The 25,874-nt window shown below is 39.3% G+C and overlaps 1 long non-coding RNA gene across 1 annotated transcript; it reads left to right on the top strand.

Moving 5' to 3' along the window:
• Positions 1-8,118: 8,118 nt before the first annotated feature.
• LOC105375084 (uncharacterized) lies at positions 8,119-13,034 on the top strand. Its single transcript, XR_926867.2, has 3 exons — positions 8,119-8,224; positions 10,045-10,100; positions 12,938-13,034. It is a non-coding gene; the product is annotated as an uncharacterized LOC105375084 (long non-coding RNA).

Raw genomic sequence — 25,874 nt, forward strand, 5'->3', positions numbered from 1 at the left:
CTAATTCATGCCTTTAAATAAATCTACATATATGGGAGGATTTAATCTATGTTCAATGATATATTCCTATCACCCAAAACAGTGCTGATGTGAAGTGTCACCAAAATATTGATAAATAAATGAAAGAAATTAGAAGCATTATTTGGAAAATGCATGCATAATGCAGGGGTTTTGCCAAAAAATAAAATAAAATTTCTGGCATTCCAAAAGAAAGGGTTTACAAACTAGAAAATGGTGCCCTGTATTAAAACATATTCTGAAAATATTTCTTAGAGCTTTAAGCAATTCCATTTAATGAATATTGGTTCCCAATGCTCATGGGCCAAAATTTGAAAAGTTTAACAAGGCTTAGAGACCCTTTATTTGTTTTTGGCCTGCCAGCCTCTCCAGCCTTATCACCCACCAGACTCACTGAGGGCTCCTGGGCAGATCTGGATCATTTTTAGCAACTTGACAGGACAAGTCATGCCATCTAGGTCTTGCAAATACTCTTCTCTTTGCCTGGAATGCTCTTCACCCACCTCCTTCCCCTCTCACACCTATGAATCCTTCAGGTCTTAGTTTACATACCAGATACTTTGGTAAGCATTCTCTGACATCCCTTACCACTTAATTACCAACTAAAACTACCACCTAAACCAAGATTAGCTGTGATAAGAGCACACTCTTCTTCTACTACCTCTGCGTTATATTTGTTTACTTTTTTCACAGCACTTACCACTATCTGAAATTATCTCATTTATTTGTTTAGTGATTTATTTCCTGTCTCCATGAGATTGGGGTACCTGACACGAAGTAGGTCATCAATAAATATATTAGTCAAATAAGTAAAGAATAAATGGAGGGACTTTATAATTCTTTATTATATTTCCTTATTCATTTATGAGCCCAACTGGACTGTAAAGTCTTTAAAAGCAGGAACCTCACCTCTCATTTCTACAGTGCCTGGGACAGCAGCAAAAATTGTTGCTGTAATGATAAAGATTGTTATAGCAAACCACTCAAATACTTACAATAAGAGGAGCTATTTAGAGAATTTTGAGTTGAAGTGAACCAGAAATGAAATGCAATATAGCCACTGAATCCTTTACAAGAAAAAGCAGTATTTGAGATGATATGGACTTGAAATCTTATACAGGACAACTATTAAAAATTACTGTATATATTGCTTTTCTCAGAAAACTCTTCTATCTCTTCCATTGTGGCCCACTCTTCTCTACCCACTGGTTCCTCAACTTCCAGTTTTACTTTCATCATGGCTAGAAAGTAGCTGAGTTATAAATAGCTGGCATTGCCTGGCAGTCTCCAATACTGGGATACCTCAAAGAGTTGTGATCTGGGAGAACATTTAGATTTTCTTACTTCCTTTACTTTCTGACTTCCAAATTGAAACTTGGCACAGACAGAGATAACTATAATAAAAGGAGGAACGAGGACAGTGTGGATGTTGTGGATGATAGAGATGTGTACATGTGAGTGTCTGCATATGAAATATGATCAAGCAGGTGGTGAGATCAAAGAGTAAGTGCTGAGACAACTCTCTGCATATCCTAACATATTTCCAAGTATGGCATAAGCAAACAAGGTTTGGAAAAAAATTATCTATGCAGGTGGAACTCTAGAAAAAGATCTCTGCCCTAAAAATGTTTCTTTAAAGTTACTTTTAAAATGTTAATTCAATAGTTAATAAATAAACTAATAATTACAGGACACAGATTTATCTGACTATAGCATATTTTAGTAACTACTAGCAAAATTGTTACTAGTATTTTATACCATAACAACTTGGTACTTATGGTCTACCTGAAATTTATCCAGTTTGTGACAGCAATGAATTACTCAAAAGGGCAACCACAAAGTCTTTCTGCAGAATTCGGCTCTAGAAGAAAACCGAAAAGCCATTTACCTTATTAAATAAACTAGTAATCACAGGGACATATTTATATTCCCTATAACCCATTCTACAAAGGAAACATAGTATAGATATTATTTAAATACAGAAGGAATTAACAAAGGCAATTGCAAAGTATAGGCTTCTCTGGTGATGAGCAGTTTTGAGTCACATACCAACTACCAATTCCCTGAAGAAGAAAAATATTAAATGAAATTTTTTTTGTTTCACTTATAACAAGAATTAATATAATGTCTCTTTTTCTTTAATTTTTTTTCACAAAAAACTGTCACCTTATTCTCTATCTTCAAACATATCTGAATACCGTACTTTCAAAATAGCACCAGTATTTCCCAAAGCCTTCGTGCTACAGAGTGTATTCTACTGCCCTCTGCTGGAAGAGGAAGTGAGTTATCATTCATCAACGGGATTGCTGGAGCAAGTGAAGGAAAAAGTTGCTCCCATATCCATTCAACAACTAGTTATTTATCACCTACCAGCCAATGTACCAGATAAGTGATAGATCAATAGATAGACTGATCTATCAATCTACAGATTCAGAATATTATTCAGAGACAAGATTGGTTCTCTGTGCTCTACAACTATGTTAGATCTATTTATAGAACAAAGTTGAACTTCCTCAAACCTGCAAAGTAAAAATAGGACAATATTTTTAAAATAACAAGTGACAAGCATGTAATGAGTGGGGAATATGGAAGGATTAATCCTAACTAATGTGCAGATAATTAATAAAATGAAGCTTCTTAGTAAAGGGAAGGATCTAGGTTAGAAAACAGGAGAATTGGTGTCAGATAAATAAAGAAGGAATAAATGGATAGGTAACTGAAGACCTTATCATAACATTATAATTCTTTATTACATTTCTGTGTCCATTTATGAGCCCTTCTGGACTGTAAAGTCTATGAGAGCACTTAATGCAACGTTCAGTAAATGATTTCACTGCTCTGTGCTGTGGTTCTCTTATCTTTAAAGTAGAAATTTTTCCTCCAACCCTACAAGCATATTGAGGGTGACAAATAAACACTGTGTGTTATTTTGTACGTGTGTGTGTATGTGAATTTTCTTACAGTATGGATGTTATGTTTAATCTCATAACTTTATTTGAATCATGGATTTAATTCAAAGTTTCCAGAAGGTTTATGTGAAATATAATGGCTTAAAATCTTAATTGGTCCCAGTTTGGGAACATGTTGTATCCTTCCTTGCCAGTTACTTTTGACATTCATTTTTGAGTCTAAATGATGCATCTTGACTCACTGAATCTTTATTTGGACTCAAACACACTGGCTCAGCAATGTGGTTTCAATCACTGGGCTAAGAACTAGCATGGGTTTCATATTCAAACAGACTTGGATTCAAATCTCAGCTCTAACAAAATATTTAATAACTGTCAGAGCAAACACTTGCATAACGTGTACCATATATAGCAACCCCATGAGGGAAAAACTGTTATAATTCTCATTTTACAAATGAGAAAACTAAGCCATGGAGATTGTTCAATAACTTTTACATACTTAGTCATATAGTTATTGAGTGGTGGAGTCAGGATTCAGGCCCAGGTCTAAAGGCTCTAGAACTCTTGTTCTTAAACCTTACATTGCGCTGCCTATCTTCCCCGAATCATATTTTCCTAATACATAAAATGATAGCAGAGAAACCAAACTGAATTCAGGGAAGGATTGGGGCAAATGCATATGAAGCATAAAGCAGAGATCCTGGTACACAGAAGGTGCTGAATAAAATTGTTGCTAGTATTTTAAGGCTTAACAACTTGATACTCAAAGACTACCTGACCTTCATCCAATTTCTGACAGCAATGAATTACTCAAAAAGGCAACCACAAAGTCTTTCTGGAGAATTCAGCTCTAGAAGTGAACCAAAAGGCCATCTTTCCCACACTCTTCATTTTAGAGGTAAGAATCATGATGCCCAAAGAACTTCAGAGGTTTACCCAAAGAAGCACCAAAACCGGATCCCGGAGTCCCTCATGGTCAAATGGGTTTGCCATTTCCATCATGCTGTGTTTTCTTCTGATATAGCTTGCCATCTGCTTAGCCTCACTTCTGGAAAGTTTTGTGAGAAATTCTAGACTGCCTTTTATGTGAACTCAGATGATGGTACACCTCATCAAATCACATACATCGCTTGAAAAAGCACAACAGAAAAATAACTATGGTACATCTTCCCTATTAGATTATTAGATATCATGGCAGCACACAGATACAAAATATTTTCAATTTCCTTCCATGACTCATACATGTTTTATTTTTCCTTTGTCCAAGTAATCAACCCTGGATTTCTAGCATGGCCACATTTATTCAAAAGGAAATTTTATACACACACACCACCCCCTACAAAGTTTCACAGGACCACTTGAATCTGAATTTTCTGAAGTCTTTAGTAAAATGAAAATCCCTAGACTCTACTCCTGATTTACAGAATAAACTGAATCAGTATTTCTGAAGGTGGAGACTTAGAAATTGTATTAAATTCATACCCCCCATTAAAGCATCCTAAAGCTTGAAAACTACCACCTTAGGGCAGAAAACTATGGTTGAGCACAGAGGAAAGCACATTATACATCTTAAGCCCACATTCCCAGGACCGAGTTTGATTTTTTGATTTTATTTTCTGCTCCCACTCCCTCCCCGATGCCCATCGTGTGTTTCTCTCTTCCTTTCTCTCTCTCTATCCCTCTCTCTCTCTCTCCATCCCTGCCTCTCTCTCTCTTTCTCTCTCTCTCTGTTTCTTTCTCTTTCTCTTTTGCCTTTTGCCTTCTTGGTAAAAATGGGATCTGTATAGGCTAGAAGATGCTTATGAATTTCAGATCAGTATTTATGGTTATGTATACGTGTGTGCCAAGGACTGTTGGCTTTAATCACATTTCTTAATTTATTTATTGCAGCATATTTAAATTCAATATCAAAATTTATTTCTGACACTGGCAAAAATCTCCATGGAAATAACTAGGCAGTTCACCCCTAAATAACAACTCATTTGGGGTGAGCTAATCACACAGAATAAGGTCGCTTCAGGACTTTGTGGGGCTAGTGGGTTTCAAGGACCTCTCTTTGGCCAGTCTGCTGAGAAAATGAATCAGGGGAGAGAAAGAGGCATGAAAAAGCACACCCACCTCCTTCAGGTAGCTCAAGCACTACCAGAGTCCAGGCTAACCGAAGGATGGAGGGGCAGGAGACCGGAAGGCTAATTGATAGGAAGGTGGAGGCCCATAAAAATGTGACCAGCTGGGAGAAAATGGAGTCCCCATGGAGCTTTGGAAAGGAGAGAAAAATACCCTTTTCTTCACTGAATAACCTTTTCTTTCCCATGGCTTTCCCAGGCTTCTTTTCTCTCGCCTATCCACGGCCAGGTGGGTTTGATGGAGCCCTAAGTTGGCTTCCCCTTTCCCTACTGGACTGATATTGTGTGCACAACTAGAGTGGGTGTTAGGGTGAGATTTTTCTACCTCCCACTCTTACATCTTAAGTAATGGGGCAACCCCATTATCTACATAATTCTGGGCCTAGAATCTACATGTACACAATGCACAGAATAGTTCAAAATGAATATATTCTCATGGATCATTATTTAGAAGCAATATCAGACCCAGAGACCACAGTGTATTACAGTTGTCATTCCTGACTTACAGAGTTTTCTTGGGCAATACAAGATGTCCTCCCTGAAGTTTCAATGGTATTAGGAATGAAGTCTTTTGTTTCCCTCTCCTCAACCCACAGAACGTCTTCAGCCCCTATTAGCCCCTTAACCATTCCATAATGTGACCTCCAGTACAGAATATTTACACCCTTGGTTGCCTCAAAAGCTTGATGTGGTTCCTCCAAAGGATCAAAATATTCTTCAGATCTTTCTTCACGTGTCTGCTGCTTCTACCTGTGTAAGTAAATAGCAAATGGGAAGGTGTCATTACTATACATTACTTATGAGCCACAAAATTCTATAGTTCATTCATAAACCATCTGGTAAAATAGGCTTGTACGACTTTAAGTTGGAACATTTGAGGGGAATTCCAGTTAGCTTCAAGTCAGTTTCCACAGCACTAATTGGTACATTCCAGCTGCATGTGATATCTTAAAAAAAAAAAAAAGCTCTAAGCCTGGCACAGGGCTCACGCCTGTAATCCTAGCACTTTGGGAGGCCAAGGTGGGCGGATCACAAGGTCAGGAGCTCGAGATCAGCATGGCCAATATGGTGAAACCCCATCTCTACTAAAAATACAAAGAAACTAGCTGGGCGTCGGGGCTCGTGCCTGTAGTCCCAGCTACTTGGGAGGCTGAGGAAGGAGAATCACTTGAACCCAGGAGGTGGAGGTTGCAGTGAGCCAAGATTATGCCACTGCACTCCAGCCTGGGCAATAGAGGGAGACTCCATCTCAAAAAAAAAAAAAAAGAAAGAAAGAAAAAAAAGAAAAAGAAAAAAAAAGCACCGAATTCCTACCCCTGTTAATATTTCCATCTAGGAGTTCCACCATCTATCAATAACGATCAATTATTAATGTACATACTGTTGTTAACTATAGTTTGCCATGGTACACTAGAACTTATTCCTTCTATCTAACTGTAAGACACTTTCTTGAAGATATGGGAAAATCAGCTTATATATCTATGGTCTTTTATAATAAAGGGCAAAATTTATTGTCTAGCCTCTAAAGCCCTCATTTAGTTATTTAATAAATATGTATTGAGGACCTAGTAGGTGCCATGCAGTCTTCTAGATACTGGGGATATATCAACAAAAACAACAACATCAGCAAACCTAGACTGTGACCTCACTGAGCTTACATTCTAACTTGTGTTGCTTAACAGGAAGAGAAATAGCTGGGAAAAAAGAAGATTTTGGTTCTAATCTTTATCTTCTAACTTATTTCCTGTTACCCATTTTACTTATTTTGACCTCACAGCTTTCCTTCCTGTTAAATGATTGTTTAAAACGAAAATAGGCTGGATGCAGTGGCTCATGTCTTTAATCCCAGAACTTTGAGAAGCCAAGGTGGGAAGATCACTTGAGACCAGGAGTTCAAGAACAGCCTGGGCAACATAGCAAGACCTTGTCTCTACAAAAAACAAAAATAAAAAATTAGCCAGGTTTGGTGGCCTGCACTTGTAGTCTCAGATACTTGAGAGGCTGAGTCGGGAGGATCAACGGAGCCCAGGAGTTCAAGGCTGCAGTAAGCTACGATCACACTGCTGCAGGGCAGTCCAGGTTCAAAGTTAGGTTTAGCCCATGAGGGTTCTTGGTAGCGGGATGAGGGAGAGTGGGGATGAATGAGGATGGTTAATGGGTGCAAAAATATAGTTTGAATGAATAAGGTCTAGTATTTGATCATGCAAAGGGGTAACTAACTGTAGTCAACAATAATTTATTGCATATTTTAAAATAACTAAGGGAGTGAGATTGAAATGTTCCTCAAACAAAGAAATAAATGCTAGAGGTGACAGACACCCAATTACCCAATATCATTGAATGCCTATACCAAAAATCACATGTACCCCATACATACATATATACACCTAGTATGTGCCCATAATAATTAAAAACCTAAAATTAAAAAAAATACCTTTTACTTGCCTCATTTAGGTGGATTGAAATTTGATAAAGCAGCATAGACACAGAACATCATATACACAAAAGCATGCAAGAGACATCCATGAGATATACTGAGGATGAGCCTCAAAGAAGTCTTAATCTTGCTCAAGGAGATGGCTGTGCTGTGAAACATACAGTGATGATTAATTACCAAGCTGTATGCTGTTGACTCCAGCTTGTAGTCAGAGAAATCAATGAGCACCTGAGTAATGAGAGGGTGATTTAAGAAAAACGTAAAACTTGAACTTATTCCCAAGTAATATTAAGGTTAGGCAGAGTAAGAAAAGTATAGCGATGGGAATTGATACATAACTGGTGTACAATGATGAGGACTGTTTAATAAGAAATGGAAGAAATAATGCACCAAGTAAAAGGCGTGAAAAAACATCTGGGTGGCTTTAAAGTCCTAAGAGAAGTTTTGATGTAACAGAGAGCCAGTGGAGGGCTCAAGCATGAAAGAGAGATGCTGACAGTCCTGTCTTTGGAGAGTGTATACTAGATGCTGATTTTCTGCTATAAATTTCTCTTATGAATAAGCATGTCCTGACATGGTCAGCCTCCTCCAATGATAAGAAGCCTTCCCTTTATAGACCTAGCAAAATCCTAAAGTCTTGGAAGAAGGGGAGAAACGTATGTATGCTCTGAAGAAACCTGTCATCACCACACCACTGGATCCTCCATCTCTACCTATTTGGGAAGACCCTAAAAGTAAAGCAAAACTTTTGATTCAACTTTCCTCTTTCAGGCCAAAGAAGAATAGCTTGGTCTTCAATCATGGTCATTCCATAAAGCAGTCCAAACTCGGAAGACTGGGAAAATACAATTAATATACTTTTGATACCTAAATGTAGTAGGTGGCTGGAGAAACTATCTTACTGTGTTAAGACTCTCAGAGTAATGTCGTCAATGAGTTAAGAATAGGTTTAACGGCCGGGCGCGGTGGCTCACGCCTGTAATCCCAGCACTTTGGGAGGCCGAGGCGGGCGGATCACGAGGTCAGGAGATCGAGACCATCCTGGCTAACACGGTGAAACCCCGTCTCTACTAAAAATACAAAAAATTAGCCGGGCGTAGTGGCGGGCGCCTGTAGTCCCAGCTACTCGGGAGGCTGAGGCAGGAGAATGGCGTGAACCCGGGAGGCGGAGCTTGCAGTGAGCCGAGATCGCGCCACTGCACTCCAGCCTGGGCGACAGAGCGAGACTCCGTCTCAAAAAAAAAAAAAAAAAGAATAGGTTTAACAGGAAATCCAAAATCAAAATGGCTTGCATGAGAAAAAGTTTATTTCTCTCTTATATAAAAGAAGTACAGAAGCAGGCAGTCCAGGGTTGGTGTAGTGACTTCACTCATCAGTAGTCCAGGCCTCTTTCTGTCCTTCAGCTCCACTATCTGAACACAAGCTTCCATCTTTAAGTTTCAATACATGGCATCGTCATGCCTACACTGCAGACAAGAGGAATGAGAAAGAGACAAAGAACTAAATGTACCCGTCTCAGATGAGTTGCTCCCTTTGAACAGCCTTCCTAGAGCCTCACACCACATTGCACTTACAGTTCACTGGTTATGTGACCATATGACCATCAGAGGCTGGAAAAGACAATCTTTCAGCAAGTTTTATTCCTAGTAAAAATGAATTCACTAAGGCTATAAAGAAACTGAATTTCAAAGTCTGAATATAAATTCATTACAAATGGGAACAGAACAAAGTGAAAAATGGTGATAGTGATAGTTAAAGAACAAGATCTAAGTATTTTTCCCAGGATTAGACAAGAAATCAAAACAAGAACCAGCTGTCACAACTGGGTCTTTTCTTTGGCCTTATAAATTGCTGAAGAGTGTGTTAACATACACTTCACTCAGATTCTCTAAATATTAACATTCTACCTAAATTGCTTTATATATCCATTTGAGAATAAATCACAGACATAACACTTCTTTACCCCAAAATATTTCAGTGTGTGTTTCCTAAATTCAAATACATTTTTATATAGCCACACCCTAATTTTCAAAATCAGAAACATAGTATTAATAAAATATTACTTATAATTTACAAACTTGTTTAGATTTCTCCAAATATACCAATAATATATTTTACAGCAAAAGAAAATATCAGATTATATCTTGCATTCAGTTGTCATCTTTTTAATCTCCTTCAATATAGAATAGTTTCTCAGTCCTCCTTTTATGATTATTAACAGGTATTTTGTAGTGTATCTCTGATATTGTATTAGTTCTGTGCTTCCTCCCCACAGAGGAAAAAGAATGACTTTATAATGGAGATACCTAGCAGACACTATGTTAACGAAGCAATCAACATTAATAGCACCAGCAATGGCACAGGTTTACATCATTTGCCTTTGATATGATGCAGTTGACAACACATAATTCCAAGCTATCCCTACCAAAAATGCATAACAGAATCTAATTTCATGTTTATTTCTTGTAATATGCTAAAACTATTCAAGCAAAAACATTTTTTCCTTACACTATTATTGTAATTGAGTGATGAACCATGTGTGTTTCTATTTCAGGCACTAAATTAAACCATCTTATTTACTTCAAGATCTAGATTGTTTGCAAGAAAAAGGTGAGTCCTATTAAGAAAATGATGCCAGGTATTTTTTTTCACTCATTATCATATCCGCATTTCTAGGCTTCCATAATTTCCTCCACTTTTTGTATCTAACCAGTTGTGTTCTCACTCTTTCTTTGTATATAAAAGCGTAAACCCAGAATCTGGTGAGCTAAAGGGGAAACTTAGTTCCCATCCAATGTTCTAGATTTTGAAAGAGAGAACATTGCTCATTATGTTATTTTTTTAACCACCTCCTAAAGTTGCTTTGTGTTTCTTCACTCTAATCAAAAGATAAAAAAAGATTTTAAAGTATTTGTTAAAATTAATCTTGTCTCTTTTCCCATGAATGCCCAAAGTATAGTATTGCCATTATTTGCATAGAGAATGAAAGCTAAAATGTTCCCATGGTCTAATAGCAAACTATGCCAAAATTTAAATTTTCAGAGCCATTCCCCATTCCTCATGAAACCCAAGCTACCTAAGTAATGAAAAGAATCATGTTTTATTTATCACCACTTATTGTTTATCTTCATTCACCATATTTCATTTATCTTGTTTCATTTTATAACAGAGGTTAATCTGGAATGTCTGATTTTAATTACAGATTAACTTTATACAGAACTTTTAAAGTATGATTTTTAATATAATTTCTTACTGACCTCAAATCCCTTGGACAGGAAATGTCAAAAACTTCTAATAATGTTCTTTTAAAGATTACTTTAATAATGATCCAATGAATGGGGCAAGTGAGACCCACTAAAAAAAAAAAATCAAAGAGGTAAAAGCCAAGAGCCAGCATATATCAGTAAGTAAAAATAGAGTCAGGCTTTCTTTCAAAACAGCATAATGTACAAATTATGCCTCTTATTCCGTGGACCCAAAATAGTCTCTTAACCATGCCATTCTTTCTGTTTTCTCTACAAAGCAACAATTACAAGCAAGCCTCTGCTGGATTTGTTCAACTAGATGTAGACCCTCTCCCCAAAACTGTTCTGATTGATCAGTAGAATATATAATATATTATATACATGTTTATTTTAGGTTCCAGGATACATGTGCAGAAAGTGCAGGTTTGTTACATAGGTAAATGTGGGCCATGGGGGTTTGCTCCACCTATCAACCCATCACCTAGGTATTAAGCCCCAAATGCATTAGCTATTTTTCCTAATGCTCCCCCTTCCCCCACATCCTACCCACTGCCAGGCCCCAGTGTGTGTTGTTCCCCTCCCTGTGTCCATGTGTTCTAATTGTTCAGCTCCCACTTCAAAGTGAGAACATGTGGTGTTTGGTTTTCTGTTCCTGTGTTAATTTACTGAGGATAATAGCTTCCAGCTCCATCCATGTCCCTGCAAAGGACATGATCTCATTCCTTTTTATGGCTGCGTGGTATTCTATGATGTATATGTACCACATTTTTTTAATCCAGTCTATCATTGATGGGCATTTGGATTGATTCCATGTCTTTGCTATTGTGAATAGTGCTGCAACAAACATATGCATGAATATGTCTTTGTAATAGAATGATTTATATCCAGTAGTGGAATTGCTGGGTCAAATGGTATTTCTGGTTCTAGATCTTTGAGAAATTGTCACACCATCTTCCACAATGGTTGAATTAATTTACATTCCCACCAGCAGTGTAAAAACATTCCTATTTCTCCACAACCTTTCCAGCATCTATTGTTTCTTTTTTTTTCTTTTTTTTTTTCTGAGACGGAGTTTCACTCTTGTAGCCCAGGCTGGGGTGCAATGGCAGGATCTCGGCTCACTGCAACCTCCACCTCCTGTGTTCAAGCGATTCTCCTGCCTCAGCCTCCTGAGTAGCTGGGATTACAGGCGCCCGCCACCATGCCCAGTTAATTTTTTGTATTTTTATTAGAGACGGGGTTTCACCATGTTGGCCAGGCTGGTCTTGAACTCGTGACCTCAGGTGATCCACCCACCTCGGCCTCCCAAAGTGCTGAGATTACAGGCATGAGCCACTGCGCCTGGCTTATTGTTTCTTGACTTTGTAATAATCACCATGAGATGGCATGAGATGGTATCTCATTGTGGTTTTGATTTGCCTTACTCTAATGACCAGTGATGTTGAGCTTCTTTTCATGTTTGTTGGCTGCATAAATGTCTTCTTTTGAGATGTGTCTGTTCATGTCCTTTGCCTACTTTTTAATGGTGTTTTTTTTTTCTTGTAAATTTAAGTGGTAGAATAATTTTTAACATATCTGTAGTCAACCACATATGAAATTTTTATATCTAGGCTTTAGGATTTTATTACAATTCCTCTAAAACATTATTTTAGAATAATAAACTGATATTAAAACAAAGGTGGTATTATTGCTGCTTTTTTTTTTTTTTTTTTTTGAGACGGAGTCTTGCTCTGTCGCCCAGGCCGGACTGCGGACTGCAGTGGCGCAATCTCGGCTCACTGCAAGCTCCGCTTCCCGGGTTCACGCCATTCTCCTGCCTCAGCCTCCCGAGTAGCTGGGACTACAGGCGCCCGCCACCGCGCCCGGCTAATTTTTTTTTTTTTTTGTATTTTTAGTAGAGACGGGGTTTCACCTTGTTAGCCAGGATGGTCTCGATCTCCTGACCTCATGATCCACCCGCCTCGGCCTCCCAAAGTGCTGGGATTACAGGCGTGAGCCACCGCGCCCAGCCTATTGCTGCTTTTTTATCACCTCACTCTATACATAATATTTGAGTGAGTTGCACCTCTGAACAAGAAATATTTGACTATATCAGTGAGTGAATTAATCTATCATCCTATACACCTTTCCAGTTACCCAGGAAAATAAATAGTGGTTTGTTGTTGTTGTTTTTATCTCCCACCAAATGAAATTGTTGGCTAGCTGAAGAGACAGACTACTACATGCCTTTTGGAAGTGTGAGCTAACTCCTTAGAAGCAGCCTGGAGGGAAAAATAACATTCATTTTCACACTCAGGAAGAACCCCGGATCCTCTGCTTGGATCCCCTCCCAGTTCTGGGAAGCTTCCCTTCTGGCTTGCAGATAAAGGCTTCAGGTATCATGTTAAGGTAGGTCAAGTTGAATTCAATTCACCTTGAGTCATTTAATTAGTTTTAGAACTTTGCCTTAGAATATAACTATGAAAAAATAGCAGTTAAACAAACACATATTACAATATCATTAATATGGTTTCTCAGTTGCAGTTAGAAAAGGGTTCTTTATACTTTCACAATTCCTGACACCCAATCCTCCTGTGCCTCTCTGTTTTCCCTCTCTTCTGCTTCCTTTCAGTTTTAGTTGTACATCTACCTTCTCCCAGAAACCCTCTCTGATTAAAATCATGCTCTTACTAATAGTAGCTTTATCTCCTATTGGTTTTCCTTTTAGGCTTCATCAGACATTTCTATGTACAAGTAGGCATCAGCCTCACATGCATTGCTTCTCTAATTAAATACATATTCTCAAAAGATAGAGGATTTGGCCTTTAGTTTCTTGTCATCTCCAGATCCTACCATGGTTAGTACAGTACATGAGTTAATACACATAACACATACACTTACACCATTGCTTGGCACAGAGAATCACTTAAGTGTTAGCTGTCACTGCCACAATCTGAGGTGCTCAACACAAGCAGTTGGCATCTAATAAATATTTGTATATTAATGCATAGTTCATTCATGTATCTGATTTTAATTTTTGTGCTTTATTTTCCCATGCTTAAGTTACACTGATGAGAAAGACATATTTGAAAACTGCATTAAATTAAGAGAAATGGTGAATTCAAAGTGTTACTACTACTGTGAGTTACAAAGGCTTGGCAACTATCATCATGGCAAAATTATAGTCTGATTTAATCAAATGCAGTACTTTCTTATCATTACCTTTCTTTCCCCAGAAGAAAGAGGGGATATTGTATTAACTATTACAAAACTTTGAAAGGAATCTGTAAGTTGTTATGTCTGAGTGTCAGGGTTTGTGCACGCGTCTTGTGTGCTTTTAACAAATAGACCTGATAAGTTAAAGAAAAAGATGCTTAAGTCATTTCTGATGGTTAGTGTTAGTAGTAAATTGCAGAACCAAGTTTGATAGAGGGAAAGAACTGAGAATTAGAAGGTTGAAGAACTGGGGTTTTGTCTCAACCCAGCCATCTATGGCCTTAGGCAAGTCACTTCATTTTTCTGAGCCCTGACTCCCTCCTTTGTAAAATGACAGGCCTGGTATAATGGTTCCTTATGGTCCTCTCTCTTCCAACACTGGGATTTTGAAGTCCTCACAGAGGAGAGTTAGAACTGATTATTCAACCCCATTCTGCTTCCTTAGAGTTCACTGACATTAAATTGCAATTTATATTGAGTAACATATTCAATTTGTATTAAAAATATGAAGTGTGCCACTCTAAAACTACATTATAGAATTTTTTCTCAGATATTGCAGGGAAACAAAAGAATTTACCAGTACTAAGTCTTCTTTCATATTCTTTTATATCCTAGATGATGAAGATCTCATTTCTCTCTCCAAAATGTCCTTTTTTAATGATTGGTGTTTGCTAGGGGAGGTTGGACAAGCAAACCCTAGACCAGAGTTTCTCAACCTCAGTACTATTGACATACTGATAATTCCTTTTTGTAGAAGCTATTCTATGCATTGCTTAATGTTTATCAGCATTGTTGGCCTCTGCCCACTAAATGCCAGAAGCAGCACCACCTTCCATGCCAACTGAGAATTTAAAAATGTCCCCAGACATTTCCAGATATGCTCAGGGGATCAAGATTACCCACCTGCATGTTGAGTACCACTATTCAGAGAATCAGCAGCCTACTACATGCTGTGTCTGTTTTCTTCTCTTTCTTTAAAATTTTACACTTTCTCTATTCATCTTTCTTTCCTTTCCTCTATTTGATTTCTCTTTCCTCCTTCTTTTATTCTACTTTTTTCTTCTGTCTCTCTTATATGGGATCTGGTTTTGCCATCGTCCAAACCACTGGCCTGTGGAAGTCAAAGTAAAGCTGACTCTGAGCCTTGAAAGTTTACACCGCTAAGGAGTCAGGTTTGCAGTCAAATTTAGGCTCAAATCCTATTTCTGTCATTTAAAAGTTCTATAAAAATTGATGAAATTTACTTAATCCCTTTGGGCTTGGTTTCCTTATCTGAAAAACTCAAGTAAGAGTGCATTTTTCATACACCCTGTGAAGATGAAATTAAGTGAGCAAAGTAAAGTACTGTGCTTCATTTAGGGCAGGAGACATGGTGAGGTCTCAATAGGTGGCAGCTATTAGTTAATACTGTTAGGCTACTAGACAGAAGGAAGCAATTTCGAGAGTAGAAAAGACCATAATAAAAAGTAAAGCAGTGTTGCTGTTGTCAAAACAGGTAGAATCCTAATCAGTGTACATAAAATAAATGTGGAGTAAAGGGCAGAGTTAATGATGGTGGTCCTTTGTGTCTTTCTGCCCAGTTAAATCCACAAATTACTAATTTAATTGAAGTGCCTATAATGTGACCATTTCACATAGGAGTAATTGCATTTATTCTCAAATATAAGTTGATGGTATAGGGTATATTAATATAATAATCACTCCAAAATAAATGGTGTTCTTCTTCCTTTGAAGAAAAAAATAAGTGTTGGTTGGAAATAATAGTTTAAGGCACTAGATAATATTTGGATAAAAGGCTAGAGCTGGTATGCTGCTTCTTTTCAGATCTCATGTGACTTGGAGGGCCCTGGAACTCTGGTCTCTCTTTTTAGCCAAAGTCATTTTTTTTTTCTTTTGAGTTGCTTAGGTACAAGGTCACTTTGGAGCCACTGTCATCACATTCTCTAAAATTGTGTTAATCATTTTCTAGGACCGTCCCTCTAGTTAGAACTGAAATAAAAAGTATTTGCAAAAACAATATCAAGGTCATTAATAAGAAAGACCCGTTGCCCCAAAACACCAGGTTAAGGAGAAACCATAGTCAGACTTCCATTATGGATTTGTGAAAACCAGAAAAGTTGCTTCCAAGTAAAGCTGTATATCCTAGATCATTTCTATCATCTCCAATTACTAGTTGTTGTCTGATCTGCTCTCTCCCTGAGCTGTATTTCCACAGAAGAAAGGCTTAGAAAAGCTGTCATTCAATATGCTTGAACAATCACTCACAACATCTAGCTTCTGGATTCTGAGGTAAAAGACCAGGCAAGTCTAGGTAGTGCGTGGAGTCGAGGCCAAGGCTAGCCTTCACATTGGTTCATAGACCAATGCTCTTTGCTTTCCTTGGACCAAGAGCCAAAACCTAAGAGGTGGTAAAAGATGTGACCCTGGAGATAGGCTTCCATTGGCAAGTGTACAAATCAAGATTTAGAAATGCTCAGAGTGAAACTTCATGGGAGAAAGTCACCACTAGCAGAATATGGAAGAGTTTCTCCTAAGAAATGCAGAATCTCAGAGCCTGAAATGAAGCAAATAGAAACCCCTATTGATATGGTTTGGCTGTGTCCCCACCAAAATCTCATCTTGAATTGCAGCTCCCATAATTCCCACTTGTTGTGAGAGGGCCCAGGTGGGAGATAATTGAGTCATGAGGGTGGTTTCCCTTATACTGTTCTCATGGTGGTGAATAAGTCTCGCAAGTTCTCATGGTTTTGTAAGGGGTTTCCCCTTCCACTTGGTTCTCTTTTCTCTCTTGTCTGCTGCCATGTAAGATGTGCCTTTCACCTTCTGCCATGATTGGGAGGCCTCCCCAGACACGTGGAACTGTGAGTCCATTAAATTTCCTTTTCTTTATAAATTAGTCTCGGATATGTCTTCATCAGCAACATGAAAATGAACTAATCCATACACACACACACACACACACACACACACACACACATATATATGTATTTAATTTACCAATCACTAATCACAATTTTTATTTTTAAAAAACTTTCTGGCCGGTCTCAGTGGCTCACGCCTGTAATCCCAACACTTTGGGAGGCCAAGGCGGGCGGATCACCTGAGGCCGGGAGTTTGAGACTAGCCTGACCAACATGGAGAAACCCCGCCTCTACTAAAAATACAAAATTAGCCAGGCATGGTGGCACATGCCTGTAATCCCAGCTACTCGGGAGGCTGAGGCAGGAGAATTGCTTGAATCCAGGAGGCAGAGGTTACAGTGCATTGTCCAAAATTATCAAGACAGCCAGTAAGAAAGAGCATGAAAAAGTGACTGCCCATGCTTAGTTGGGTCTTAAAATATTTTTTAAATTTAATTTAGGTTGTAATGATGGAGTTAATAAAAATATTTTATAATACAGCAGGAAAAGAACACTCTTCATACTTTCTTTGTAAATACTAGTGAAAGTTTTATAAAGAGTTTTCACATTCCTTTGCAATTAAGGAGGGACTTGGAAAGAATTGCTTCTCTTTACTTGTGTGCTTATGTAAATCACTTAAAGGTTTTTGAAACTCCCTCAAAGGGAGCCTGGCTTTGAGTGTGTTCATTGGAGAAATGTTCTGCAAAGCATTTATTTCTTTTAGGGATCAAACAACTGTTCCTCAAAAATTATTGCAAATAAAGGCCTAAAAGGCCCTTCATCCATACCCTAAATAAATAAATTTGCTTTTCTTCATTCTATAAAGCCACCCACATAAATCCTATTAAATATGGAAAAAAGTGATAATGACAAAAGCAAAACAATCAGACTGACAGACCAATAAAGCTGTTGAGTATAATTACTGTGATGTTGTTTCTACTAATTGATATCAGATAACTTATGCATTACAAGGAAACATGGGCTCAGAAATGTGTACAATTCCCCAATCAGATAATACTTTTACAGATGCAGAAATAATGGAATCTTCCACATGTATCTCTCAATGCCAGTCCTTTACAATGATTAATCTGCTGAACTCACAATGCAATATCAAGCTGAGCACCTGTAGTAGAATCCCAGCATCTTGGTGTTGCAAAGGACCTCCTGCCCAGTGTTATATAGATAGACCTCCTGCCCCAGCATTACCCCATTCTAGACTGAGGTCGTACAAACTCTGCCTGCATCCTACGGAGCCTGACAGTTCACCATAATCAAAGATGCTTTTTCTAGTGCTTGAAATTTTTAGAAATTTTTTTCCCACAGTGAGTTATATCTGCCTCCTAGTAGAATCTCCCTATTGATCTTATTCTGTATCTTTAGAGCAAAAGAGAATTATTTTGCCTAAAATGCTTTGAACACATTTGAGCCAGCCACTTTGCTATACACTGGCAATATAGCAGTGAACGAGACAAATGACAATTTTTTCCTCAGTCTAGTTCTCCTTCCCCAAGACCATCATCAAATATTGAAAGACAGCATTCACATTCCCAAGTTTTCTCTGTGTTAGTGTAAAAATTCAGTTTTCTCAACTCTTTCTCCCTTGGCATGACTTTCAGAACTTTTTAAAATCTGATTGCTTTCTTGTTTTTGTTTTTGTTTTGAGATATGGTCTTATTCTGTCACCCAGGTTGGAGTGCAATGGTGCAATTTTGACTGAGTGCAATGGTGTAATTTTGACTCACTGCAACCTCTACTTCTTGGGATCAAGTGATCCTCCCACCTCAGCCTCCTGAGTAGTTGGAACTACAGGCACAAGCCACCATGCCCAGCTAAGTTTTCTTTATTTTTTGTAGAAAAAAAAGTGTCACTATGTTGCCTAGACTGGTCTTGAACTCCTGGGCTCAAGCAATCCTCCTGCCTCCGACTCCCAAAGTGCTGACATTATAGTCACTGTACCTAGCCTGAGTGCTTTCTGAGACATTTTAGTTTATCAGTGATAGTCATAGCGCAAGCCACTCCAGTTGGACACAAGTCCTGAAATGCAGTTTTACCAACATAAAAAAACTGTAGGATTGCAACTTTTCTGCGCTTAAACCAAGTTTACTAATGCAACCTGGGATCTCACTTACTCTATAGATTTTTCATTCTCAGTAAGTTGTTGGGCATGATGCTGATGTGGTTACTACAGTCCAGAAACCATAAGGGCCCTGAGTGGCAAAAATCTGTGGGTATTTTCATGTCTTCCTCTGTCGGTCTATGAGGCCCCCACTTCTTGCTCATATTTTTGTTATTTTTATCTTTGCTAAATTATAGCTTTTGGGATTTGTTCCAGAGTATTGGCCTGTTAAAATATTTGCGAATCCTCATTCTGTAATCCAGTGTACTATTTTCCCTGATGTTTAGCACCTAGAAAGTAACTAACATGTCTTGTAAATATTCTTCAAGTCTTTTATATTAGCAAGAATGAGACTAAGGACAAAGTCCTGTGGCAAACTAACTATTAAAGCTACTGTCTTAAATTGTTTATTATTAATCAATTAATCTCTTTGGGAGATAATTATTCAAATAACTGCAAATCTGAGATGGAAACAGTAGATACAACACATACTGAGTGGTTTCCTTATACTGGAGGTCATGAAAAGCATTTTATATGTATTATCTCAATTAATCATGATGACTATTCCCACACAATGGCTATTGTCATGCACATATTTCATGTAGGAAATATGTTTAATAAGGAAATATGTATCATACATAGCAATTGAGGCTCAGGGAGGTTAGGTAATTTTCTTTTTTTTTTTCAGATTTTTTTTTTTAGTATTTATTGATCATTCTTGGGTGTTTCTCGCAGAGGGGGATTTGGCAGGGTCATAGGACAATAGTGGAGGGAAAGTCAGCAGATAAACAAGTGAACAAGGGTCTCTGGTTTTCCTAGGCAGAGGACCCTGCGGCCTTCTGCAGTGTTTGTGTCCCTGGGTACTTGAGATTAGGGAGTGGTGATGACGATGAAGCATGCTGCCTTCAAGCATCTGTTTAACAAAGCACATCTTGCACCGCCCTTAATCCATTTAACCCTGAGTGGACACAGCAGATGTTTCAGAGAGCATGGGGTTGGGGGTAAGGTTATAGATTAACAGCATCCCAAGGCAGAAGAATTTTTCTTAGTACAGAACAAAATGGAGTCTCCTATATCTACTTCTTTCTACACAGACACAGCAACCATCTGATTTCTCTATCTTTTCCCCACATTTCCCCCTTTTCTATTCGACGAAACCGCCATCGTCATCATGGCCCGTTCTCAATGAGCTGTTGGGTACACCTCCCAGATGGGGTGGCGGCCGGGCAGAGGGGCTCCTCACTTCCCAGAAGGGGCGGCTGCCAGGCGGAGGGGCTCCTCATTTCTCAGACAGGGTGGCTGCCAGGCAGAGGGGCTCCTCACTTCTCAGATGGGGCGGCCAGGCAGAGATGCTCCTCACCTCCCAAACAGGGTCACGGCCAGGCAGAGGCGCTCCTCACATCCCAGACGGGGTGGTGGGGCAGAGGCACTCCCCACATCTCAGACGATGGGCTGCCGGGCAGAGACGCTCCTCACTTCCTAGACAGGATGGCGGCCGGGAAGAGGCGCTCCTCACTTACCAGACTGGGCAGCCAGGCAGAGGGGCTTCTCACATCCCAGACGATGGGCAGCCAGGCAGAGATGCTACTCACTTCCCAGACGGGATGGCGGCCGGGCAGAGGCTGCAATCTCGGCACTTTGGGAGGCCAAGGCAGGCGGCTGGGAGGTGGAGGTTGTAGGGAGCCGAGATCAGGCCACTGCACTCCAGCCTGGGCAACATTGAGCACTGAGTGAATGAGACTCCGTCTGCAATCCCAGCACCTCGGGAGGCCGAGGCTGGCAGCTCACTCGCAGTTAGGAGCTGGAAACCAGCCCGGCCAACACAGCGAAACCCCATCTCCACCAAAAAAATACGAAAACCAATCAGGCGTGGCAGCGCGCACCTGCAATCCCAGGCACTCGGCAGGCTGAAGCAGGAGAATCAGGCAGGGAGGTTGCAGTGAGCCGAGATGGCGGCAGTACAGTCCAGCTTCGGCTCGGCATCAGAGGGAGACCGTGGAGAGAGAGGCAGGGGCAGGGGCAGGGGCAGGGGCAGGGGCAGGGGCAGAGGCAGAGGCAGAGGCAGAGGCAATTTTCTTAATGTCCAAGATAGTAAGTAGCAGATCTGGAATTCACACACATCTGTCCTACTCCAAAGCTCATATCCTTCATCAGAGAGAAAGACAGTCTCCAAATACCATAACATCACTCAACCCAGATAATGGAGCCAATGAAAAACCTTTGAAATGTCTTCATGAGCTCCAGATACACTGTGTCTCCAATATTCAGTCTAGTGAATTTTTAGCAAAAGGAAATTAGAACATAAGGAATTATCTGTTCTTCCTGAATCCATGCTAGTTCTGAGATCTCTTCATTCCCTTCCAGAATTGACTAACTGCACTTTGACAAACTAAACTATCATTTTCTTAGGGAAACAATAGTATGATTCCCCATCTGTAGTTTCTAGTATCCATCTAGTATCACCGTTTTTTGTTGTTTTTTTTTTAGACCGAGACTCACTCCGTCGCCCAGGCTGGAGTGCTGTGGAATGATCTTGGCTCACTGCAACCCCCACCCCTTGAGTTTGAGCAACTCTCATGCTTCAGCCTCCCAAGTAGCTGGAAAGCTGGAATTACAGGTGGGCACCACCTCACCTGGCTAATTTTTGTATTTTTGTATTTTTAGCAGAAACAGGGTTTCACCATGTTGGTCAAGCTAGTCTCCAACTCCGGACCTCCAACTCCAGACCTCGCCTGCCTCAGCCTCCCACAGTGCTGGAATTATAGGCATAAGCCACTGAGCCTGGCCTTAGTATCGCTCTTTCTGAAGAATGAAGTGTTTTCCAGCCTTTGCTATTGGACATTGGTTTCACTCTGCATACTTTATCAAAGATTACTAACCATAATTGTCAAGATTATAACTGCAAATTCTTTTAGTACATTAGATGTTATTCTTGTAGACATACATCCTTGAATTTTTCAAAGTGCCTATTAAGTACTAGTTATTAAAATAATATTCTCTTCCCTCAAGCTATATCTATGGTCTGAATGTATGTGTCCCTCCAGAATTCATATGTTGAAATCCAACTCTTAATGTGTTGGCATTAAGAAACGAGGCCTTTGGGAGGTGACCAGGTCAGGAGGGCAGAGTCCTGGTGAATGGGATTAGCGCCCTTATAAAAGAAGCCTGAGGGCTAGGTACGGTGGCTCATGCCTGTAATCCCAGCAGTTTGAGAGAGCGAGGCAGGTGGATCACCTAAGGTTGAGAGTTCGAGACCAGCCTGGTGAACATGGTGAAACCCTGTCTCTGCTAAAAAAAAAAAAAAAATATATATATATATATATAAGAAATTAGCTGGGCATAGTGGCAGGCACCTTCAGTCCTGCTAGTCAAGGTGGCTGAGGAGGAGAATCGCTTGAACCCAGGAGGTGAAGGTTGCAGTGAGCTGAGATCGCGCGACCGCACTCCAGCCTGGGTGACAGAGCAAGACTCCATCAAAAAAAAAAAAAAAAAAGCGTGAGAGCTTGTTTGCCCCTTTTGCCTTTCCACCATGTGAGGTAACCATCTATTGGAACAGGCCCTCACCAAACACTGAATCTACTGGTTAACTAATCTTGGTCTTCCCAACCTCTAGAACTGTGAGCAATAAAATGGTGCTGTTTATAAACTACCCATTCTAAGGTATTCTTTTTGGCCATACATAAAAACTTATTTTTATTGCAAACAAACAAAAAAGAAGAAGAGAAAGAGAGAAAATGGTCAGAAATACAACACATAAGATTAGGAATTTAACAGCATCCTACATTCTGTCCTAATGGCAGCATAATTAATAGGAATGAATGGTCATGTTGCTTCCTGCCACAGCTGGGAAGTATTTTTTTTATAGCAGCTCCTACAAATTAAGACACGGTTTTCTTATCCTTTCTTTGTTTGCTTTCTTCTAAGATCGTATTCCTAAAAAATTTTTGTGATTATCATTTACTAAAAGATTGGAACCAATTATTTTAAACTCTCTCACAGAGGGCTCCAGAAAGATGAGGCTTGCTGCAACATGCTCAGAAAGAACACTTTCATTTAAATTTTTTTGGCTGGTCCCAGTGGCTCACATCTGTAATCTCAGTGCTTTGGGAGACTGAGGAAGGATTGCTTGAGGTCAGGAGTTCAAGACAAACCTGGTCAACATAGCAAGACCCCGTTTCTACAAAAATAAAAATAGAAATTAGCTAGGTGTGGTGGCATGCACCTGTAGTCCCAGCTACTGGGGAGGCTGAGGTGGGAGGATTTATTGAGCCCAGGAGGGTGACGCTGCAGTGTTCATGTGATCACGCTACTGCACTCCAGCCTGGACAACAGGGTGAGACCCTGTCTCAAAAGAGTAATATTTAAAATAAAAAAATTAATTAATTACTACTTGATGCTTTTATCAGTTTCATAAAGTCCATTCCTATGGAAGAAGCTTGCATATCACCTAGTAAATTCTCCTTTTTTTTTTTTTTTTGAGACGGAATTTTGTTCTTATCCCCCAGGCTGGAGTGCAATGGCGTGATCTTGGCTCACTGCAACCACCACCTCCTAGATTCAAGCGATTCTCCTGCCTCAGCTTCCCAAGTAGCTGGGATTACAGGCGTGCGCTACCATGCCCATGTAATTTTGTACTTTTAGTAGAGACGGGGTTTCACCATGTTAGCCAGGCTATTCTCAAACTCCTGACCTCAGGTGAAACACCCACCTCAGCCTCCCGAAGTGCTAGGATTGCAGGCATGAGCTTCTGGCCGAATTCTCCTCATTTTATCAACGAGAAAACTGAGATCTGGAAAGGTCAGAGGACTTGCCAAAGGGAATATAACTGGTAAGTGAAAAACTCATCTTATGTCAAAGAAATAAAAAAGAGGCATAAAATGAAGATCCTTCCCTATTTTTATCAGAATGTCAAATCGTGAATTTTAGGAAGTAGTTCCAATATAATGCTAATTTCTCCCAAATGTCCCTTGTATTTATGAGACACTTCAGCTCTGATGCTATACATTGTATGTGTTTATTCATGCTTTAAAGGTTATATTTCTGCTCTACATCTTTCAAAGTCTTTATTTGCAAATTTTTTTCCTCACAGATGTGTACTGGTCTACTGGTTGCATTTTGAAACCAAATTGTTTAGTATTCTCACCCTTCAAGATTTCTCCTTCTTAAAGCAATAATATGGAAAACATCCACAATGATGAAAGTACCTGTCCTCCTGCATTAGTCATGGCAGAGGAGACACACACCTCTCACATTTTGAATGTGAAATGCCCATTGGTGTTGAAAACAATTGTTGCATGGCTGTTTGCATCATTTGCTTCAGCCCCTCATCTTCCTTTCCTTAACCTCTTTACCTCCAAGAGATAGGAATTTCAAAACTGTCCCCTTAGCCACTTCATACCCCCGTAGTTAAACAGAAAAGCTTAAGGGGATCAGGACATCTAAAATCTATAATGAAATTACTATTGCTCCTCAAAAGTCCCAGGGAAAGGGTGAGTTTTCACAGTTACAGTTATTTTTATTCTCACAAGTGATTTCAACTCAGTATCTTTTACAAATTTACAAATGTACCATCAACTAAATATTATGATTAAAGTAAGAAATGCTCTTTCCTGTTTAGTGCTTGCCTCAATCTCGATAATTATGAAGAGTCAGTCTAAAGATAACCCCACCCACATTTCATTTTTTAAAAACACTCCTGTGCAAACATTAGTCCCTCCTATTTTGTTTCCTCATACCAAGTCACTGAAACCTATATGGTATCAAAGCCCTAGAAATCTGAAGGCAGGTGCTTAAATTGTAGTTTCAGACATTCAACAGTATTTTGTTTCCAAATTGATGATAAAAACACCTACTGAATCTTCCCCAAAAATATAATCATGAGAAAGCTTAAGACAGAAACATGGTAGGAAAATTAGGAGCCAGACTGCAACAGTAAAAAATGGAGCTGTCATGTTTTATCATTTTTTAACTTATCAAGATCTGTTATATGGATGTCGTGTCTTATTATTCAACTCAGCAGACAATAATGCTTCTGATGGGTAAGAGGTGGGGCAATATCTGAGGATGCTGAAGTAAGACAGTTTTTCCTTCCTCTCTTCTTTCCTTTGCCTACTTATAAATCCAGGACTATAAAAAATAACCCTGGACATACTCAATGATCCAAAAATACTGTCTTCTTAACTTCAGAAGGAAAGAAGTAAGACAGCATCATGAGACTGTGGGCAAAGCGTTGAGTACACAGTCTGAAGACCTATATTGGGTTTCCCACCTCCACTTTCTAACCAGGAGTTTATTGCAAATCCCTGGTTTTTAGAAGCCTCCACTTTCCTGACCCCCCGCTAAGTGTTTTGAGACAATGATGATAAGTTAAATTGTTTATGAAGCAATAGTACCACATATATTTACCCACAGATACTATTTTAATAAATTTTCACAATCATTTCCATTTTGTAGTTCAGTGCACTGAACCTCAGGCTATTAAATAGCCTGCCCCACCGCCTAGAATGAGAAAGGCCAGGGTGCAAACTTGGCACAATAATTCTAATTCTTGACTTTTCTAATTTTATTATTTTTGTGCGTTGGGTAGATGGAAAGGGGAAACCCAGGGAGACTGTGTAATGGAAAAAGAAAAGGTGGTACAGTGGGCATCTGCAAAGGAAGATAGTTCATGGAGTGTTAACCCACAGGTGCAAAGGTGAGGGCTAGTGGAAGGAAGGAAGTCAAATAAATTTAGATAATTCATAATTAGATTTTTAGAAGAAAGATGAAAGAAGACATGAAAGTGCTCCTAGTTGACCTTGATTTAATAATGATATTTTTCTGTACATTTTTTAAAAAACAGTCCTGAACATACTTCGAAAATCACCAGCAGAGGGCTTCATGCTGGGTGCATTTGCTTTTAATTATAGACTCCGACATTTACTGAATA

The sequence above is a fragment of the Homo sapiens genome, chromosome 6 (assembly GCF_000001405.40).
Source record: "Homo sapiens chromosome 6, GRCh38.p14 Primary Assembly".
Classification (NCBI taxonomy): domain Eukaryota; kingdom Metazoa; phylum Chordata; class Mammalia; order Primates; family Hominidae; genus Homo; species Homo sapiens.